A 16063-nucleotide genomic window follows, 5' to 3' on the forward strand; every position below is an offset into this window, starting at 1 on the left:
AGAAAGCAGGAAAGATCTAAAATCAGCACCCTAACATCACAATTAAAATAACTAGAACAGCAAGAGCAAACAAATTCAAAAGCTAGCAGAAGACAAGAAATATCTAAGATCAGAGCAGAACTGAAGGAGTTAGAAACATGAAAAAGCCTTCAAAAAATCAATGAATCCAGAGGCTGTTTTTTTGAAAAGATTAACAAAATAGATAGACTGATAGCCAGTCTAATAAAGAAGAAATGAGAGAAGAATCAAATAGACATGATAAAAAACTGATAAAGTGGATATCACCACTGATCCCACAAAAATACAAACTACCACCAGAGAATACTGTAAACATCTCTATGCAAATAAACTAGAAAATCTAGAAGAAATGGATAAATTCCTGGACAAATACACCCTCCCAAGACTAAACAAGGAAGAGGTCCAATCCCTGAACAGACCAATAACAGGCTCTGAAATTGAGGCAGGAATTAATAGCCTACCAAGCAAAAAAAGCCCAGGACCACACAGATTCATAGCCATCTTCTGTTGCAGGTACAAAGAGGAGCTGGTACCATTCCTTCTGAAACTATTCCAAACAATAAAAAAAGAGGGAATCCTCCCTAACTCATTTCATGAGGCCAGCATCATCCTGATACCAAAACCTGGCAGACACACACACACACACACACACACACACACACACACACACACACACACAAAAACATTCAGGCCAATATCCCTGATGAAAATCGATGCAAAAATCCTCAATAAAATACTGGCAAAGCATATCCAGCAGCACCTCGAAAAGCTTATCCACCACGATCAAGTTGGCTTCATCCCTGGAATGCAAGGCTGGTTCAACATACACAAATGAATACACTTAATCCATCACATAAACAGAACCAATGACAAAAACCACATGATTATCTCAATAGATGCAGAAAAGGCCTCCGATAAAAATCAGCACCCCTTCATGGTAAAAACTCTCAATAAACTAGGTATTGATGGAATGTATCTCAAAATAATAAGAGCTATTTATGACAAACCCACAGCCAATATCATACTGAATGGGCAAAAACTGGAAGCACTCCCTTTGAAAACTGGCACAAGATAAGGATGCCCTGTCTCACCACTCCTATTCCACATAGTATTGGAAGTTCTGGCCTGGGCAGTCAGGCAAGAGAAAGAAATAAAGGTATTCAAATAAGAAGAGAGGAAGTCAGATTTTCTCTGCAGATGGCATGGTTGTATATTTAGAAAACCCCATCATCTCAGCCAAAAAAATCTCCTTAAGCTGATAAGTAACTTCAACAAAGTCTGAGGATACAAAATCAATGTGCAAAAACTACAAGCATTCTTATACACCAATAGTAGACAAACAGCCAAATCATGAATAAACTCCCGTTCACAATTGCTACAAAGAGAATAAAATACCTAGGAGTCCAACTCACAAGGGATGTGAAGGACCTCTTCAAGGAAAACTACAAACCGCTGCTCAAGGAAATCAGAGAGGACACAAACAAATGGAAAAACATTCCATGCTCATGGATAGGAAGAATCAATATCGTGAAAATGGCCATAATGCCCAAAGTAATTTATAGATTCAGTGCTATCCCCATTAAGCTACCATTGACTTTCTTCACAGAATTAGAAAAAACTACTTTAAATTTCATATGGAACCACAAAAGAGACAATATAGCCAATTAAATCTTAAGCTAAAAGAGCAAAGCTAGAGGCATCATGCTACCTGACTTCAAACTATACTACAAGGCTACAGTAACCAAAACAGCATGATACTGGTACCAAAACAGATATATAGACCAATGGAACAGAACAGAGGCCTCAGAAATTACCCCACACATCTACTACCATATGATCTTTGACAAACCTGACAAAAACAAGCAATGGGGAAATGATTCCCTATTTAATAGTGTTGGGAAAACTGGCTAGCCATATGCAGAAAATTGAAACTGCACCCCTTCCTTATGACTTATACAAAAATTAACTCAAGATGGATTAAAGATGTAAATGTAAGATCTAAAAACCATAAAAACCCTAGAAGAAAACCTAGGCAATACCATTCAGGACATAGGCATGGGCCAAGACTTCATGACTAAAACACCAAAAGCAACTGCAACAAAGCCAAAATTGACAAATGGGATCTAATTAAGCTAAAGAGCTTCTGCACATCAAAAGAAACTATCATCAGCGTGAACAGGCAACCAACAGAATGGGAGAATATTTTTGCAATCTATCCATCTGATGAAGGGCTAATATCCAGAGTATACAAGGAATTTAAACAAATTTAGAAGATAAAAAACAACTCCAACAAAAAGTGGGTGAGGGAGATGAACAGACACTTCTCAAAAGAAGACATTTATGTGGCCAACAAACATATGAAAAAAAGCTCATCATCACTGGTCATTAGAGAAATGCAAATCTAAACCACAATAAGATACCATCTCACGCCAGTTAGAATACCAATCATTAAAACGTCAGAAAACAACAGATGCTGGAGAAGATGTTGAGAAATAGGAACGCTTTTACACTGTTGGTGGGGGTGTAAATTAGTTCAACCATTGTGGCGATTCCTCAAGGATCTAGAACCAGAAATACCATTTGACCCAGCAATCTCATTACTGGGTATATACCCAAAGGATTATAAATCACTCTACTATAAAGACACATGCACACGTATGTTTATTGCAGCACTGTTCACAATAGCAAAGACTTGGAACCAACACAAATGCCCATTAATGATAGACTGGATAAAGAAAATGTGGCACATATACACCATGGAATACTATGCAGCCATAAAAAGGATGCGTTCATGTTCTTTGTGGGGATATGGATGAAGCTGGAAACCATCATTCTCAGCAAACTAACACAGGAACAGAAAACCAAACACTGCATGTTCTCATTCATAAGTGAGAGTTGAAAAATGAGAACACATGGATACGGGGAAGGGAACATCACACACCAGGGCCTGTGGAGGGTAGGGGGGTAGGGGAGGGATAGCATTAGGAGAAAATACCCAATGTAGATGACGGGTTGATGGGTGCAGCAAACCACCATGGCATGTGTATACCTATGTAACAAACCTGCATGTTCTGCACATATATCCCAGAGCTTAAAGTATAATAAAAAGGCCGGGTGCAGTGGCTCACACCTGTAATCACAGCACTTTGGGAGGCCGAGGTGGGCAGAACACGAGGCCAAGAGTTCGAGACCAGCCTGACCAACGTGGCGAAACCCCATCTCTACTAAAAATACAAAAATTAGCCAGGTGTGGTGGTGCGTGCCTGTAATCCCAGCTACTCAGGAGGCTGAGACAGGAGAATTGCTTGAACCTGGGAGGCGGAGGTTGCTGTGAGCAGAGATCACGCCATTGCACTCCTTGAATGACAGAGCGAGACTCCATCTTAAAAAATAAAGTACAATAAAAAAAATTTTAAAAAGACTGGTATCAAAATATTTTTTCTTCCCTCTCCTCTCTCCAGTTGTAATGGTTGTATTAAAAAACAATGTTTAATATCAACAATACCAAATAAAATGTTTGTGTTCTAAGTTGAGTAAGAATACATCTGTTTCCATGTTAAAGCTACTTTAAATTAATGGTTTATTTTTTGTAATTACTTTTAAGTCTTAAATCAAATGTCATTTCCTCACTTTTGAATTTTAAATGCTTACTTTATTATTTACATTGCACTTATGCTTGAAATTATCTCTTTTACATATTTACTTCTTACCTTATTTTACTACTTATTTGTTTATTCACTTATTTTTTAGTGATCTTGCCAGTTTTGTTTGTCATCATTGTATTAACAGCCTGGTTTATAGAAGACATAAAGTAATTATTAAGTTAATAAATACATTAACTGTTGCAAAAGAAAAGCCATTGCTTTGATACCTATAAAATGTACCAATATCTTGAAATTAAAAATGATGGATTATTCTGTGTTCTCAGATGTCAGCAATTGACAGAACCAAGGCATTCCCTGGTCAGGGTTAGGCAAATACTTAGCTGAGTCCTAGGGGTTTCAAGGCAGTAAGGTATGATGGCTTCCAGCTTCAATGAAAGCAGTTCTCACTCAGCAGCGTTTCACAGAGATGTTCTGCATAAGCTTTTGTTTGAAGAAAGAGTTCCATTGCTTAAAAACGGGGTTGGAGTACAGTGGTAAAAACCACTGTTCTAGGGAATTTGGAGCAAATGGTAGCCGAAATGAGTTTACATGCTAAGTTATATTTACTTTTCCCTTTAAAAGTCAATGTGCTATCTTATTAATGTTTTTATACTATAGCGACATAAAATTATTTCTGCCTTGGTTTGAAGATTTGAATGATTTATGCTTTTTAGAATTTTAGAGATAAATGAAACACCTAGGCAAGATTCAGAAAACCGTTTACCTTTGGCTACATAAAAAACTGTAAGTTAAACCTTATATTGGAAAACTAGAATTTTGGCTTCAAAGATTTGTCCTTCCACTGTGTTAATCTTATATTTATATTTTATTTCCTTCTCTATAGAGAGAGCAGGTAAAAACATGTTTAGTGTTTCCTCGCTTTCCAAGTTACATTTTATCTTGAGCAGATTTAAAACGAGATTAGCTGTAATAGGACTCCAGGATGTGGGCAGATGTCTACTTGTCAAAGACAATCTCTCTTGCAATCAGCTCCTTCATTATTTCATTTGTACCACCATAGATTGGCTGAACTCTGGCATCCACATAAGCTCTGGATAAATCAGATGATTGAATGAATAAATAAAATATATTAGAAACTGTAAATTTTGTCTTACCAGGTAACTCATAAACTATTCAATTAGTGAAGTACAAACAATAAAAGTCCTTCATAAATTACTTATTTTTTCAATATGGCATTCATCCTAAATTGGAATAATAGTAAAAAAAACTATTAAGATGTTAATAATCTGTATAGCTTTGTATTAATTTGATTAAAGAGATTACAAATTCAAAATAAAAATAATGAGTATGTTTCATCTGATTTAATTTTGTAAAATTCAGCACATATGATAACACTCTTAAAAAGTCTGTTTTAGATTAGGAAATGCACAGGATGTCTTAGTTTCTTTTTATCTTTAATGTTTCCTAAAAAGTTGAAATCCACTGGTTTTATAGAAAACAAAAGAAAAAAGATACATATTTTCTAGCATTCCCACAACCACTATCACTATCAGGAATATAAACTAATGCTTTAGCAAATATTATTTCCCAGAAAGTTAACAAGTAACTTGTTTTTTGGAAATGGTTAATAGTCACTTCAGCAATGTGTGGAGTTAAAATACTAAGTGGCTGAGTCCATTGCTATACCCACACCAAAGAAAAAAAAAACCCAAATATCATAAGTTCACTTTTGATAGTCATGATAACAACCGTACCACTGTACAGTTGTTTTTATCTTTTCTCATCTCATTTTATCCTCTCAGCTCTGGGATTGGGGAGGGATAAATGTTAATACTGTTTCCCTGGTAAAGGAACTAAAGTAGAGAGAAGTTAATATATTTCCTAATTAATGGTTGCTATTTAATGGTCACCAACAACACATCATTGGCAGACTGGAATGAGGATGTAGGTATTCTGCCTCTTTTTCAAATATCTTTTTTGTATATTGCAACACTTTCATTGGCCAAAGCACTTAGAGCTAGTTATTGAACTTTGGACTTTCCTGGTAGACACACTCAAAGGCTTTTCTTTTTTTTTTCTCAAGTATAATCTTGGTGTTTTGTTTTGTTTAAATTTGATTTTTAAGACAAATTAAATGTGCCAGCTCTCTAGGAACATACCACTTTTGGACTTATTCTTCTCCATATTCATCAGGGTTCCTTACAAAGAAATGGACACTCAGTAAATATTTACTGATATGATTTACGGTGTTACAAAGGAAATTTACAATCTCAGAACTTTCTGCTGAAAGCTTTAAAAGCTTGAGATATTTATGTTTTCAAACATTTTTTTCTGAACGGATTTTGCTATTCTCTACAAAATCTAGCACCTGCATTTTGAGCACTTACCTACTGTAAGCCTACTTCAGCAGTCCCAATGCGTTTAGATATATATATATATATTTGTAAATGGGCTAGGCTTCTTTTTACATTAAAGAAGTTCCAATGGAGTAAAGCAGAGATTAGTAGACCTTTTATATGTTACTAATTAAATTTAGTCATCAACTAAAATTAACAGTGAAAGGCGGCAGCAGAAATGTTTAACCACACTGCAGTGAAGTTCTACATCTAAGGCAGCTCTTCCCAGCATGGCAGAGAAATCTTAAAATGACAAGGCTTAAATCTCACTCCTCACGGGCTCGAGCCTAATGAGTAAGACTTATTAAATAAACCCACATGCTGAAGACCAGTTATTAAAGAAGACAAAAACAAAAAAACAAAATAAAAAAGCAGAGAAAACACCTCTTATCTATGAAACCAACCCTCAGCAACATATATATAAACTAATGTAGTTTAGTCTGGGGGATATAAGAAACACAATTAGAAGATTTTTCTTTTTTTATCAAATCAAAATCTATACATTACATCCACATATTGCCAATGTGTCTATGTGGCTTTTTTGTTGTTGTTGTTGTTGTTTGTTTTTTTTTTTTTGAGACAGTCTCACTCTGTCGCCCAGGCTGGAGTGCAGTGGCGCAATCTCGACTCACTGCAACCTCCGCCTCTCGGGTTAGAGCGATTCTCATGCCTCTGGAGTAGCTGGGACTACAGGCACCTGCAACCACGCCTAGCTAATTTTTTTGTATTTTTAGTAGAAATGGTGTTTCGCCATTTTGCCCAGGCTGGTCTTGAACTCTTGACCTCAGGTGATCCACCCGCTTTGGCATCCCAAAGTGCTGGGATTACAGGAGTGAGCCACCGCACGTGGCCTCAGTGGCTTTTTTGATATTAGGCGATATATGGGAAGAGAAATAGCAGTCTAGTTTAAAAATTGATACAATCTTTGAACTAACAAACTGGCCAAGAAAGGTGATTATTGTTTCTTAAAGAGAATATAAGTCTCTCAAACTGAAACCAGAGATTTCAAATAAGCCATCAATCTACATTGTTTGCTTGGTACCAACTTGAAGGAGTTGACTCCGAGAAAACAGAGACCAAGGCTTATGCCACGCTCTAATCTTAAGCCATTTAGATGATTGCCTTCTCCCCACCTAATAGGCCTTTCTTAAATGTGAACTAAACCACACAAACATTGAGCCACTACATAGCTTCTGTTCTTAATGTAATTTTAGTAAAATATTTTTTCTAAGGACTATAAGCATATTAAATGTTTCCAATTATACTTACCAAAAAGATAAATTTGAAATCATTAGGCTGCCAGTTTGAATGTAGGTTTCATAATTTTTCCCTTTAGATACTTTATATTAAGATAATCTTAAAACATTTTTAGAAGCCTATAGCATTCTTACTCTCAGATTCAGAACAAACTGAACTTTTCTGTATAAATAAAAAATTTCCTTGGGAAAATTTTCTAAACCAAAATCATTGCTAAATAATCAGAAAAATATATTTTCTAGGGTGATGAGGAAAAAAAGCTATGGGGAGACTTCTGAGGCAAAAGACTGTTAGGAGAAAAGGAAATTCTGGAGATTGAGGAAGAAATATGAATGGGGACACTGCCTATTTACAAATTAGTACTGCTTCAAACTGATAAGAATATTCATATATGATAAAAAGATATATTTGATTTCTTTCAATTTGAAGGAAATAAATCTATTTAGAAAGAAGATTTTTAATTTTTTTAGAACAAAACAAATAATCAGATATTTAAGATATGTGACAACTTAGATCCTTTTCATATGCCAGTTAATTTTTCTGTATTGCTTTTTTTTTTTTTTGGTTTTAAAAAAAAAGTAGTATTTGGCCGGATGCAGTGGCTCACGCCTGTAATCCCAGTACTTTGGGATGCCAAGGCAGGCAGATCACTTGAGGCCAGGGGTTTGAGACCAGCCTGGCCAACATGGCAAAACCACACCTCTACTAAAAATACAAAAAAATTAGCCAGGTGTCATGGCACGCACCTGTTAATTCCAGCTACTCTGGAGACTGAGGCACAAGAATTATTTGAACCTGGAAGGTGGAGGTTGCAGTGAACCCAGATCATGCCACTGTACTCCAACCTGGGTGACAGAGCGAGACTGTCTCAAAATAAAATAAAAAATAAAAAAATTAAAAAATTTTTGAAAATACTATTTGTCCTTCTACATAAGGATTCAAATAAAGCCAAGGATCAAGCTTTTGTTTATTGGTCTCTTTACTTTATTTAAGAAAAATAAAATCCTAGTAGGGAGTTGATAAAAAAAAAGCTGTTTCCATTTGCTTGAATACATTTTGTCTGTATTCAGCTGAAAAATTCAAAAGATTGCACACCTCCTTTCCCTCTACATTTGATGTACAAAGTAAAGAAATTTTCCTTTTTCTTCACATCATAAAGAAGAGTGTATCAGAAAACTATACTTACTTTGCAATTGGGTACTCCCACATGTATCCCCAACCTCCATGGAGCTGTACACAGTCGTAAGCTACACTATTTTGTAACTCAGATGCCCTAAATGACCAAAATAAAAGGCAGAAAAGAAATGTTTGAAATGGATTTTCATGAGGTGCTTCAAAACCAGAAAACTAATTATTTACAATTGTTTAAATGTGCACATTTATTAAGCAATTAGAACGGCATATTAGCTAAGCAAAGAAGATAAAAATTACATATGAAATATATTTCAAGAGAATTTTCATATAAGAGTACCTTTTTCATTAATTATATTTCTTGCTAGGTTTTTGTTAGGCTAGAAACAAAAGGTAGAAAACTCAGATGATTAGATTTTGGCTATTTGAGGCTAGAAAAACATGCAGTAAAGACTTGAATATGTTCTAATTTATTTGGATTCTCTATATGATCTAAATTACTCAGCCACCTAGTTCTTTTTGCCCTTGTAATATGCATTTTTTCTCCAATGATGTCACTTTCTACTTGAAGATCACGATTCTGAATTTCAGTATAAAAAAGCAATTTTTTAGGGTTCTGACTTTTCAGAAATAAATTGAAGATAAAAGTGAAAACCTAAGAGGGCAGACTAACAAAGTATATGCTATCATATAGGAAACATTAGAAAATTATATAGAGATTATTATTCCTGAAGTGTATGTATTAGTATTATATATAATGTTTGTATACATAAACATGCAGTGCTTGAGAAAAATTCTTTTCTGATAATATCACAATTCTATCATTAAAATTCATGATAGAGATTTTATTCACCTTAACATAAAAATACATTAGTTCAAAATTCTTTTCTACTTATTTTTCTTTTCTTTCTTTCTTTTTGTTTGTGAGTCTGTTTTAGTGATGGAGTCTCACCCACTCTAGGGCCTAGGTTGGGATACAGTGGCACAATCATAGCTCATTACAGTCTTGAACTCCAGGGCTCAAAGGATCCTCTCACCTCAGCTTCTCAAGTAGGAGTTACTACAGTGGCAAGCTACAGCACCCCACTACTTATTTTTCAATAGTGGGAAGCATAAAGCAAAAATAAGGGTAGATACTTCTTTTTATTTAAAATAATTTAAAACTCAGACCATACGACAGGTGAGGATATTTCTAAGCAATATATTAACAATATAATTATTAATAGACAAGACTTTGGGGACAATAATATTTGGATTTCTCTAATTTTTTATATTTGGCAAGTATTTTAGTGAAATATTTACTGGGCTATAACTAGTTGCCTCCTGTGTTTCAGTGTGAAATATGAGCATGTGTATAAACCTGAGGTTTTCAAATAACAAGGTCAATGGCTATCCAAACTTCTCTTTTTCCAAAAATATGTAAATTTTTTTTACACTTTTTGCCACTAGTCAAAGAACTTCTTGTAAATGTAAATATAAAAAGTCTCCTCAAAAGTGCAAGTTTCTGAAAAGTAATTCCACATTATTTTTCAACCTGGCAATTTTGTTATTATGGGATCATTATATAAAGCACAAAATATTTCCCCTGTTCTACCTGTGATTGAACTGAACACAAGTTAATGAATAATGACAGGAATTTATTCTAAGTTACTCTTGGGCTAATGATATGGGAGAATGTTTGTTTTTAAAAAGAGGAAACCAAATCTACTTCCAGAATCTGATTTAGACTGTATATTCTAAAATCTTAAAATATACAAAAGTCTGACATACAGGGATGTTTTTTCATTCAACTCATCTTTAACACCATTGCTAATAATCTTTAATTCAAATCGAAGTCTTTCTAAACTTAATAGGATTTTTATTCTCCTTTCACTTAATAGAGCCTGTGAAACTTTGATTGGACAGCCAGTTCTTCCTGAATTTTTTCTTAAAATTGGAAAGCACCTTAAATAGAAAAATCCTGTCCAACTTAGTCATTTCACAGATAACAAAAACATTTTCCTGGATGGAATTAAGTTTAATTATAGTTATTTAATAAAAGAATTTGGACTCTATCTCAAGACTCCTAAGTTTTACTGTTCCCTTTCAGCCTCACTATACTGCCACTCTTCAGATAATTTGAAATTAAACTATTACTTGAATGAATGAATCAGTCATCCTATCAATATCACTCTTCATTTTCCCACTCTTAATATTTTATTTTCAATAGCAAGTTAAGAATTAAATACTAACTTTGCTTGCCTATTAGGATAAAAAAATTAAATACCAACTTGAAACATTTTTAGCACATTATACATATGCTTAATGGAACTTTTTAGCATTTTTTTTTAAAGTGGAGTCTCACTTTTATTTTTCATTTCACAGATTTCTTCCTTTAAGACCCTCAAGGCTGAGCTTAAAATTGGCAGAATTCCATATCAGTCTGAGCACACACCGCACTCTAATTACTGTAGCATGCATACCAATATTTCGCCATGCAAGCAGTGGCGGAGTCCAAACGTTTCGCTTCATGCAGCTGGAGACAGTTGTCCACAAATGCTCGGGTTACACATATATGTGTTTTTAATTCTGCTAATTTATGTTGCACTGTCTTGAATTTAAAGGAAATAAAAGAAAAAAGTGAGCATGGTAGAAATATAAACTTCAACCCACTTAACATATCAGAAATTATACAATAAAAGATCTTTAGGGCAAACAAAAGTGGAATTGTTGGTTTTTTCCTCCATAAAAATGGCATTTGTTACCAAATCAGCTTAAATTTAAAACTCACTATATTTCAGTGCTAAGGAAATTTGTACTAAAAGATGCAAAAATAGTTTAAAACATAAACAATGTCTTGTTTCAGATTGTAAAATTTAGACGAGGCAAAATTCTTGAAAAACAGCATGACTTTAATGTGTGAGCACCATCTTGTGGTACAGTTATTTAGGTACAGCCGTTGAAAACACCTGTTGCTTTTTCCTCCAGAGATTAAATCCTTGAAGATTTTTTTCTTTATTAATGAAATTAAGTATACAGATTTTGCTACTCTGCTTCTAACATCTGGAGGGACAAGGGGTTTCTATATATGTTCATAAACATCAAAATATAAGGTATTATTTAATATTGCACAGTATTTAATCTAGATCTGTAGAAAGCAATAGAATAAAATCAGAGTACTAAAGAGATCAAAATCCAGTACCCTCATCCTCTTTCATCCCTTCACATTATCCCTTCTGATATGGTTTGGCTCTGTCCCTACCCAAATCTTATCTTGAATTGTAGCTCCCATAATCCCCACATGTTGTGGGAGGGACGTGGTGGGAGATAATTGAATCATGGGGGTGGGTTTGTCCCATGATGTTCTTGTGATAGTGAGTAAGTCTCATGAGATCTGATGGTTTTATAAAGAGTGGTTCCCCTGCACACGCTGTTTTGCCTGCTACCATGTAAGATGTGCTGTTGTTCCTCCTTCACCTTCCGCCATGATTATGAGGCCTCCCCAGCCATGTGGAACTGTGAGTCCATTAAACCTCTTTTTTTTTTTTTAATAAATTACCCAGTCTCAGGTATTTCTTCATAGCAGTATGAAAATGGATGAATACACCTCCCGTACCTCTCAATAGCTTGTTTAGCAGTCTCTAGCTTGGACTGAATGGTCTGGGATTATCAATGTTAATATAGCTATGTACCTACCTCCTCCTACTGGCCATGGACAACCCATTAGCATTTTTGGAAATCATTCTATTTAGACCATTCTCAATTGTTGCTGACTGTCCTTGCTTCAATCAAGCTTTATTTCATTCCTGACTCTAGGCTCTCACACTCTGAACTTGGAGTGTATATCTGTTCTCTTTGGCACTGACTCTTGAGCCTCCCTCAGGAAATTGGCTTGAACTTGAAATACTGGGTTCCCACTTTGGGTAGCTCCAAAAGTATACTCCATTCTAGTTGATTTCTTAGGTCCAAGGCCCAGATATGGTCAGCTGGCCTATCTTCTTTGTGAAAATTCAGATAGAAACAGTTCTGATCATTCTGCTGTGAAATGAGTAAGAACTTCACTGTGGCTAATAGCATATACATGGAAAGTTACAGGCAAAGGTGGTGCAGTGAAACTCAAACTAGAAATTAAACACATCCCACCTAGGTACTACCAAGTCCAAAGCCACAGCTGTGTTCTCAAAGGAGGGTGGTGGGACACATTCTCAGAAGATACATGGTCTGCTTTTAATGCTGGCTACAGCAATTCTCAAGTTATAAAACTGATTCTTTCACTGTCATTGTTGGTTGGGACAGTTTTGATACTTACCATTTCTGGAAAAGAGTAGAATGGGAGTGTAAAAAGACCCAGGACCAAGCAAGACCAGGGTGTATCAGGTGGAGTAAAGCTCTGAGGGGCAGATTCCTTACAGGTATATCAACATAACTACTGTGCTGATGAAAACTCCAACTGACTGTCTTTCCCCTGGTTTTATTTCACCCTGTTCTAGAAACAGAGAATGTAACTGGCATCGAATGATTCCAAAACTAAGCAATGAGAAGGTTGGCACCCCACTCCTTCCATCTCTGTATTCTGGCCTCTAGTTCTGAACATGCTGGGTCACATCAAAACTTTCTTCCCCGCTTATTGTTTCCCTTAATTTTTTCTATCTCCATTTCTATTCATCATATATTTAATTAGGTCAAATATCTACCCTTTAATCAGCACAAAGTTTCCCACTCCCAACCCACACATTGAAGTTTACTCTTAGACAATATAAAGATGGAACAAAAAAAGAAAAAAATAGGCAAATAATCTATATATCGAAAACAGATGAGTATTCCATGAAAATCCCTGAAGATGGTTTCTAAGCCTACTCCTAGTTTAGTTCAATGACACTATGTATGACACTTTATTTGGAAAATAAGGGTGGATCCAACAAGTCTCAAGATATTTTTTTGCCTACATGATGCCACATTTGGGAATTTATGCACTGTCTTTACAATATGAAAGAGTAAAGATATCTAAGCCTGATTCTCTCATACAAGAGTCATTCCTTTGTAAATGCTGGAAACTTCTAGAAGCTGAAGTAAAACTTCAAACCAGAATGGAATGATTTAGAATTCTTGCATCAGTGCATTCAGTGAAGTCCAGAGGTCTGAGAGAATAATGTCTCCAAGAGTACATAATTTACTCTCTGAGGATAAAAAGATTAAATATTTACATATTCTTGCCATTGGGTTGAGCGTTACTAAACAGATTTGGTCTTTGCTTTTCACTGCAGACACTGCATTATGCTTTCTGAAATCATCCTCTAATCAAAGGCAACTAAAAATTAGACCACACATTACTAGTCAAGTGCTCTTAGTGAATGATCGACAAGGTCATAGCAGTATTTTTAAGTCATTTATATTTGTTAATAAATAATACTGCAGCTAGCATTAAAAATTATTCTGAAGTTACTAAGTGGGCTGGATGGAGTCTTTTTCAGAGTTCTGAATGACAGAATTCTTAGAATTATGGAAATGGAGAACACCTTGGAGAGGTTATCTAGCCCAGTATTCATTTAAACAACAGCATCAGTTGCTCTCACATATTATGGTTAAAATATAAAATGAAACACACTAGGTTTGCTATTTGATAGTTAATTAGTCCCATGCTCAAGGTCTTAAAAACTGGATATTCCCATTTTAGACACATGTCAAGAAGAAGTATTATTTTTTTCCTCTCTATTCCTCTCCCTAATTCTTTATGCCCTTAGAATTAAGAACACATACCACACAGGAAATGACTAACCAAGAGCTCTCATTAGATTAGAAAAAACATTCCATTTTCACTTCGTTGCCCACTGAGTGAAGGAAATAGGAAAAGAAAAAAGGCCCATCTGCTTTGCACTTCTGGGCAGTAATAACAGTATATAGGTAAAGAGTGTAGGTTCTGGAATTAGAATATATGTGTAATTTGGGGCAAGTTACTTAACCTCTCTATACCTTAATTTCCTTAACTGTAAAATAAAAATAATTAAAATACTTATATAGATTTGTGAAGAAAAAGAATGAGACCATTCACTTAGCAGTGTCTGGCAGATAGGGAGCAGTCAAGCAATAATATCCATTATTATTTAACATCTGGATTTTACTGTTTTATTGTCTATTCCGCAAAAAACCATAAGATCGACATAAACTATGGAGAGCATAGATTTTAAAAATCCTAATAATTATTGCTACATCCATACGTAGGTTTCTATTCTAAAAAGAAAATAAATTTTGTGACATGCATTTCAACTGGTCAGAAAGCCCCAAAATGTCCAAAATTCAAGGATAACAAAGAGAATGGAAACTGAATAGTTATATAGTTATAAAATGACATGTGGCCAAGTATATTGTAACATTTAAAGCTCTTCTATTTCAATTGAATAACTAGATCCATAGTGTACCCAGCTCTTGAATACAAGGTATAGGTATGTACAGTATCGGTTATTCATCATCTCTGAATATACTCCTAGCTTGAAATATGAAAATATTATTCAAATATATTTATTTAGATAAAATAGGAAGATCAGAAGACATATCTCAGAAATCTCAGAACATATAAACTTACTTGGAAAACAATACTACTAGCTATCAATAATGTGACCTGTGGAAGTAGAATGCTACTGCCACCTACTGAAAGTTTAGGGAACTAACTTTGAAAGAAGGCAACAATAAAATGATACTTCTTTAAAAAGGAATGATTAAAGTTATTTATTTTTTGCTATTAAAATACAATAAATATATATTTTAAAAGAATATTTTTCCCCTATGAGAAAACAATATGGACCACTTTCCTATTTCCTTCATGGTTAAATGTCAAATTACATGCCTTCTGAGCCATTCAGGCAATCTGGGTAATAATATAGTCATCCTTGTTGTAATCTAGTATTAAGTTCATAAACACAGGAAATGTAGATTTCCAAAGGAATGGAAACATGTCTTTTGGTTCAACTGTTATACCTTTAGCCAAAATAAGGCTAAAGGTATATTTTTGTTTTTGTATTCATTTTTGTGGGGAGCAGGGAGACAGGGTCTTGCTATGTCACTCAGGCTAGAGTACAATAGTGAGATCTCAGCTCACTGCAACATCTGCCTCCAGGGCTCAAGCGATCCTCCCACCTTAGCCTCTTGAGTAGCTGAGACTACAGACACACACCACCACACCTGGCTAATTTTTGTATTTTTTGTAGAGATGAGGTTTTGCCACGTTGTCCAGGTTGGTCTCAAAGTCCTGGGCTCAAGCAATCTGCCTGCCTAGGCCTCCCAACGTGCTGGGATTACAGGTGTGAGCCACTATGCCTGGCCTTGGTATAAGTGTTTTAGTAAACATTTTTGATGTTTAAGTGGTGGTGGTTGGATTTCAGAAGCAAATGATACTCATTCCACTTTGGGTACAGTTGAGAAAATCAGAGTGATATCAAGTGGTAACACTTCCTTCATATTGCCAGGAGCGTAGTATGTGTTTCTAGAGTTACACCCATCAAATTACAGTTGAACACATTACCCTTAGGAGGCAATCAATATATATTTGTTCAGTGAACCAAAAAGGAAAAAATCATATATGTCAGTTTTTCTCAATGGGAAATTATTGATATTTTGAGTGACACAATTAGTTGTAATCCAAATGTGAATTACAGGACATTTAACAACACTGTCCTCCAGGGC

General features: G+C 35.1%; 1 protein-coding gene across 3 annotated transcripts in view; it reads right to left on the minus strand.

The window, feature by feature from the left end:
* ACADL (acyl-CoA dehydrogenase long chain) overlaps positions 3582-16063 on the minus strand; it is a 37525-nt gene continuing 25043 nt past the window's right edge. For all 3 annotated transcript variants that reach the window (NM_001608.4, XM_005246517.5, XM_047444103.1), the window contains exons 9-11: positions 10870-10997; positions 8463-8549; positions 3582-4713 (exon numbers count right to left, since the gene is read on the minus strand). In NM_001608.4, the coding sequence (NP_001599.1) occupies positions 4620-4713; positions 8463-8549; positions 10870-10997 (309 nt within the window). In that variant the 3' untranslated portion in view covers positions 3582-4619. The remainder of the gene's footprint in view (positions 4714-8462; positions 8550-10869; positions 10998-16063) is intronic.

This window comes from Homo sapiens, chromosome 2 (assembly GCF_000001405.40).
Source record: "Homo sapiens chromosome 2, GRCh38.p14 Primary Assembly".
NCBI classification, from domain to species: Eukaryota; Metazoa; Chordata; class Mammalia; order Primates; family Hominidae; genus Homo; species Homo sapiens.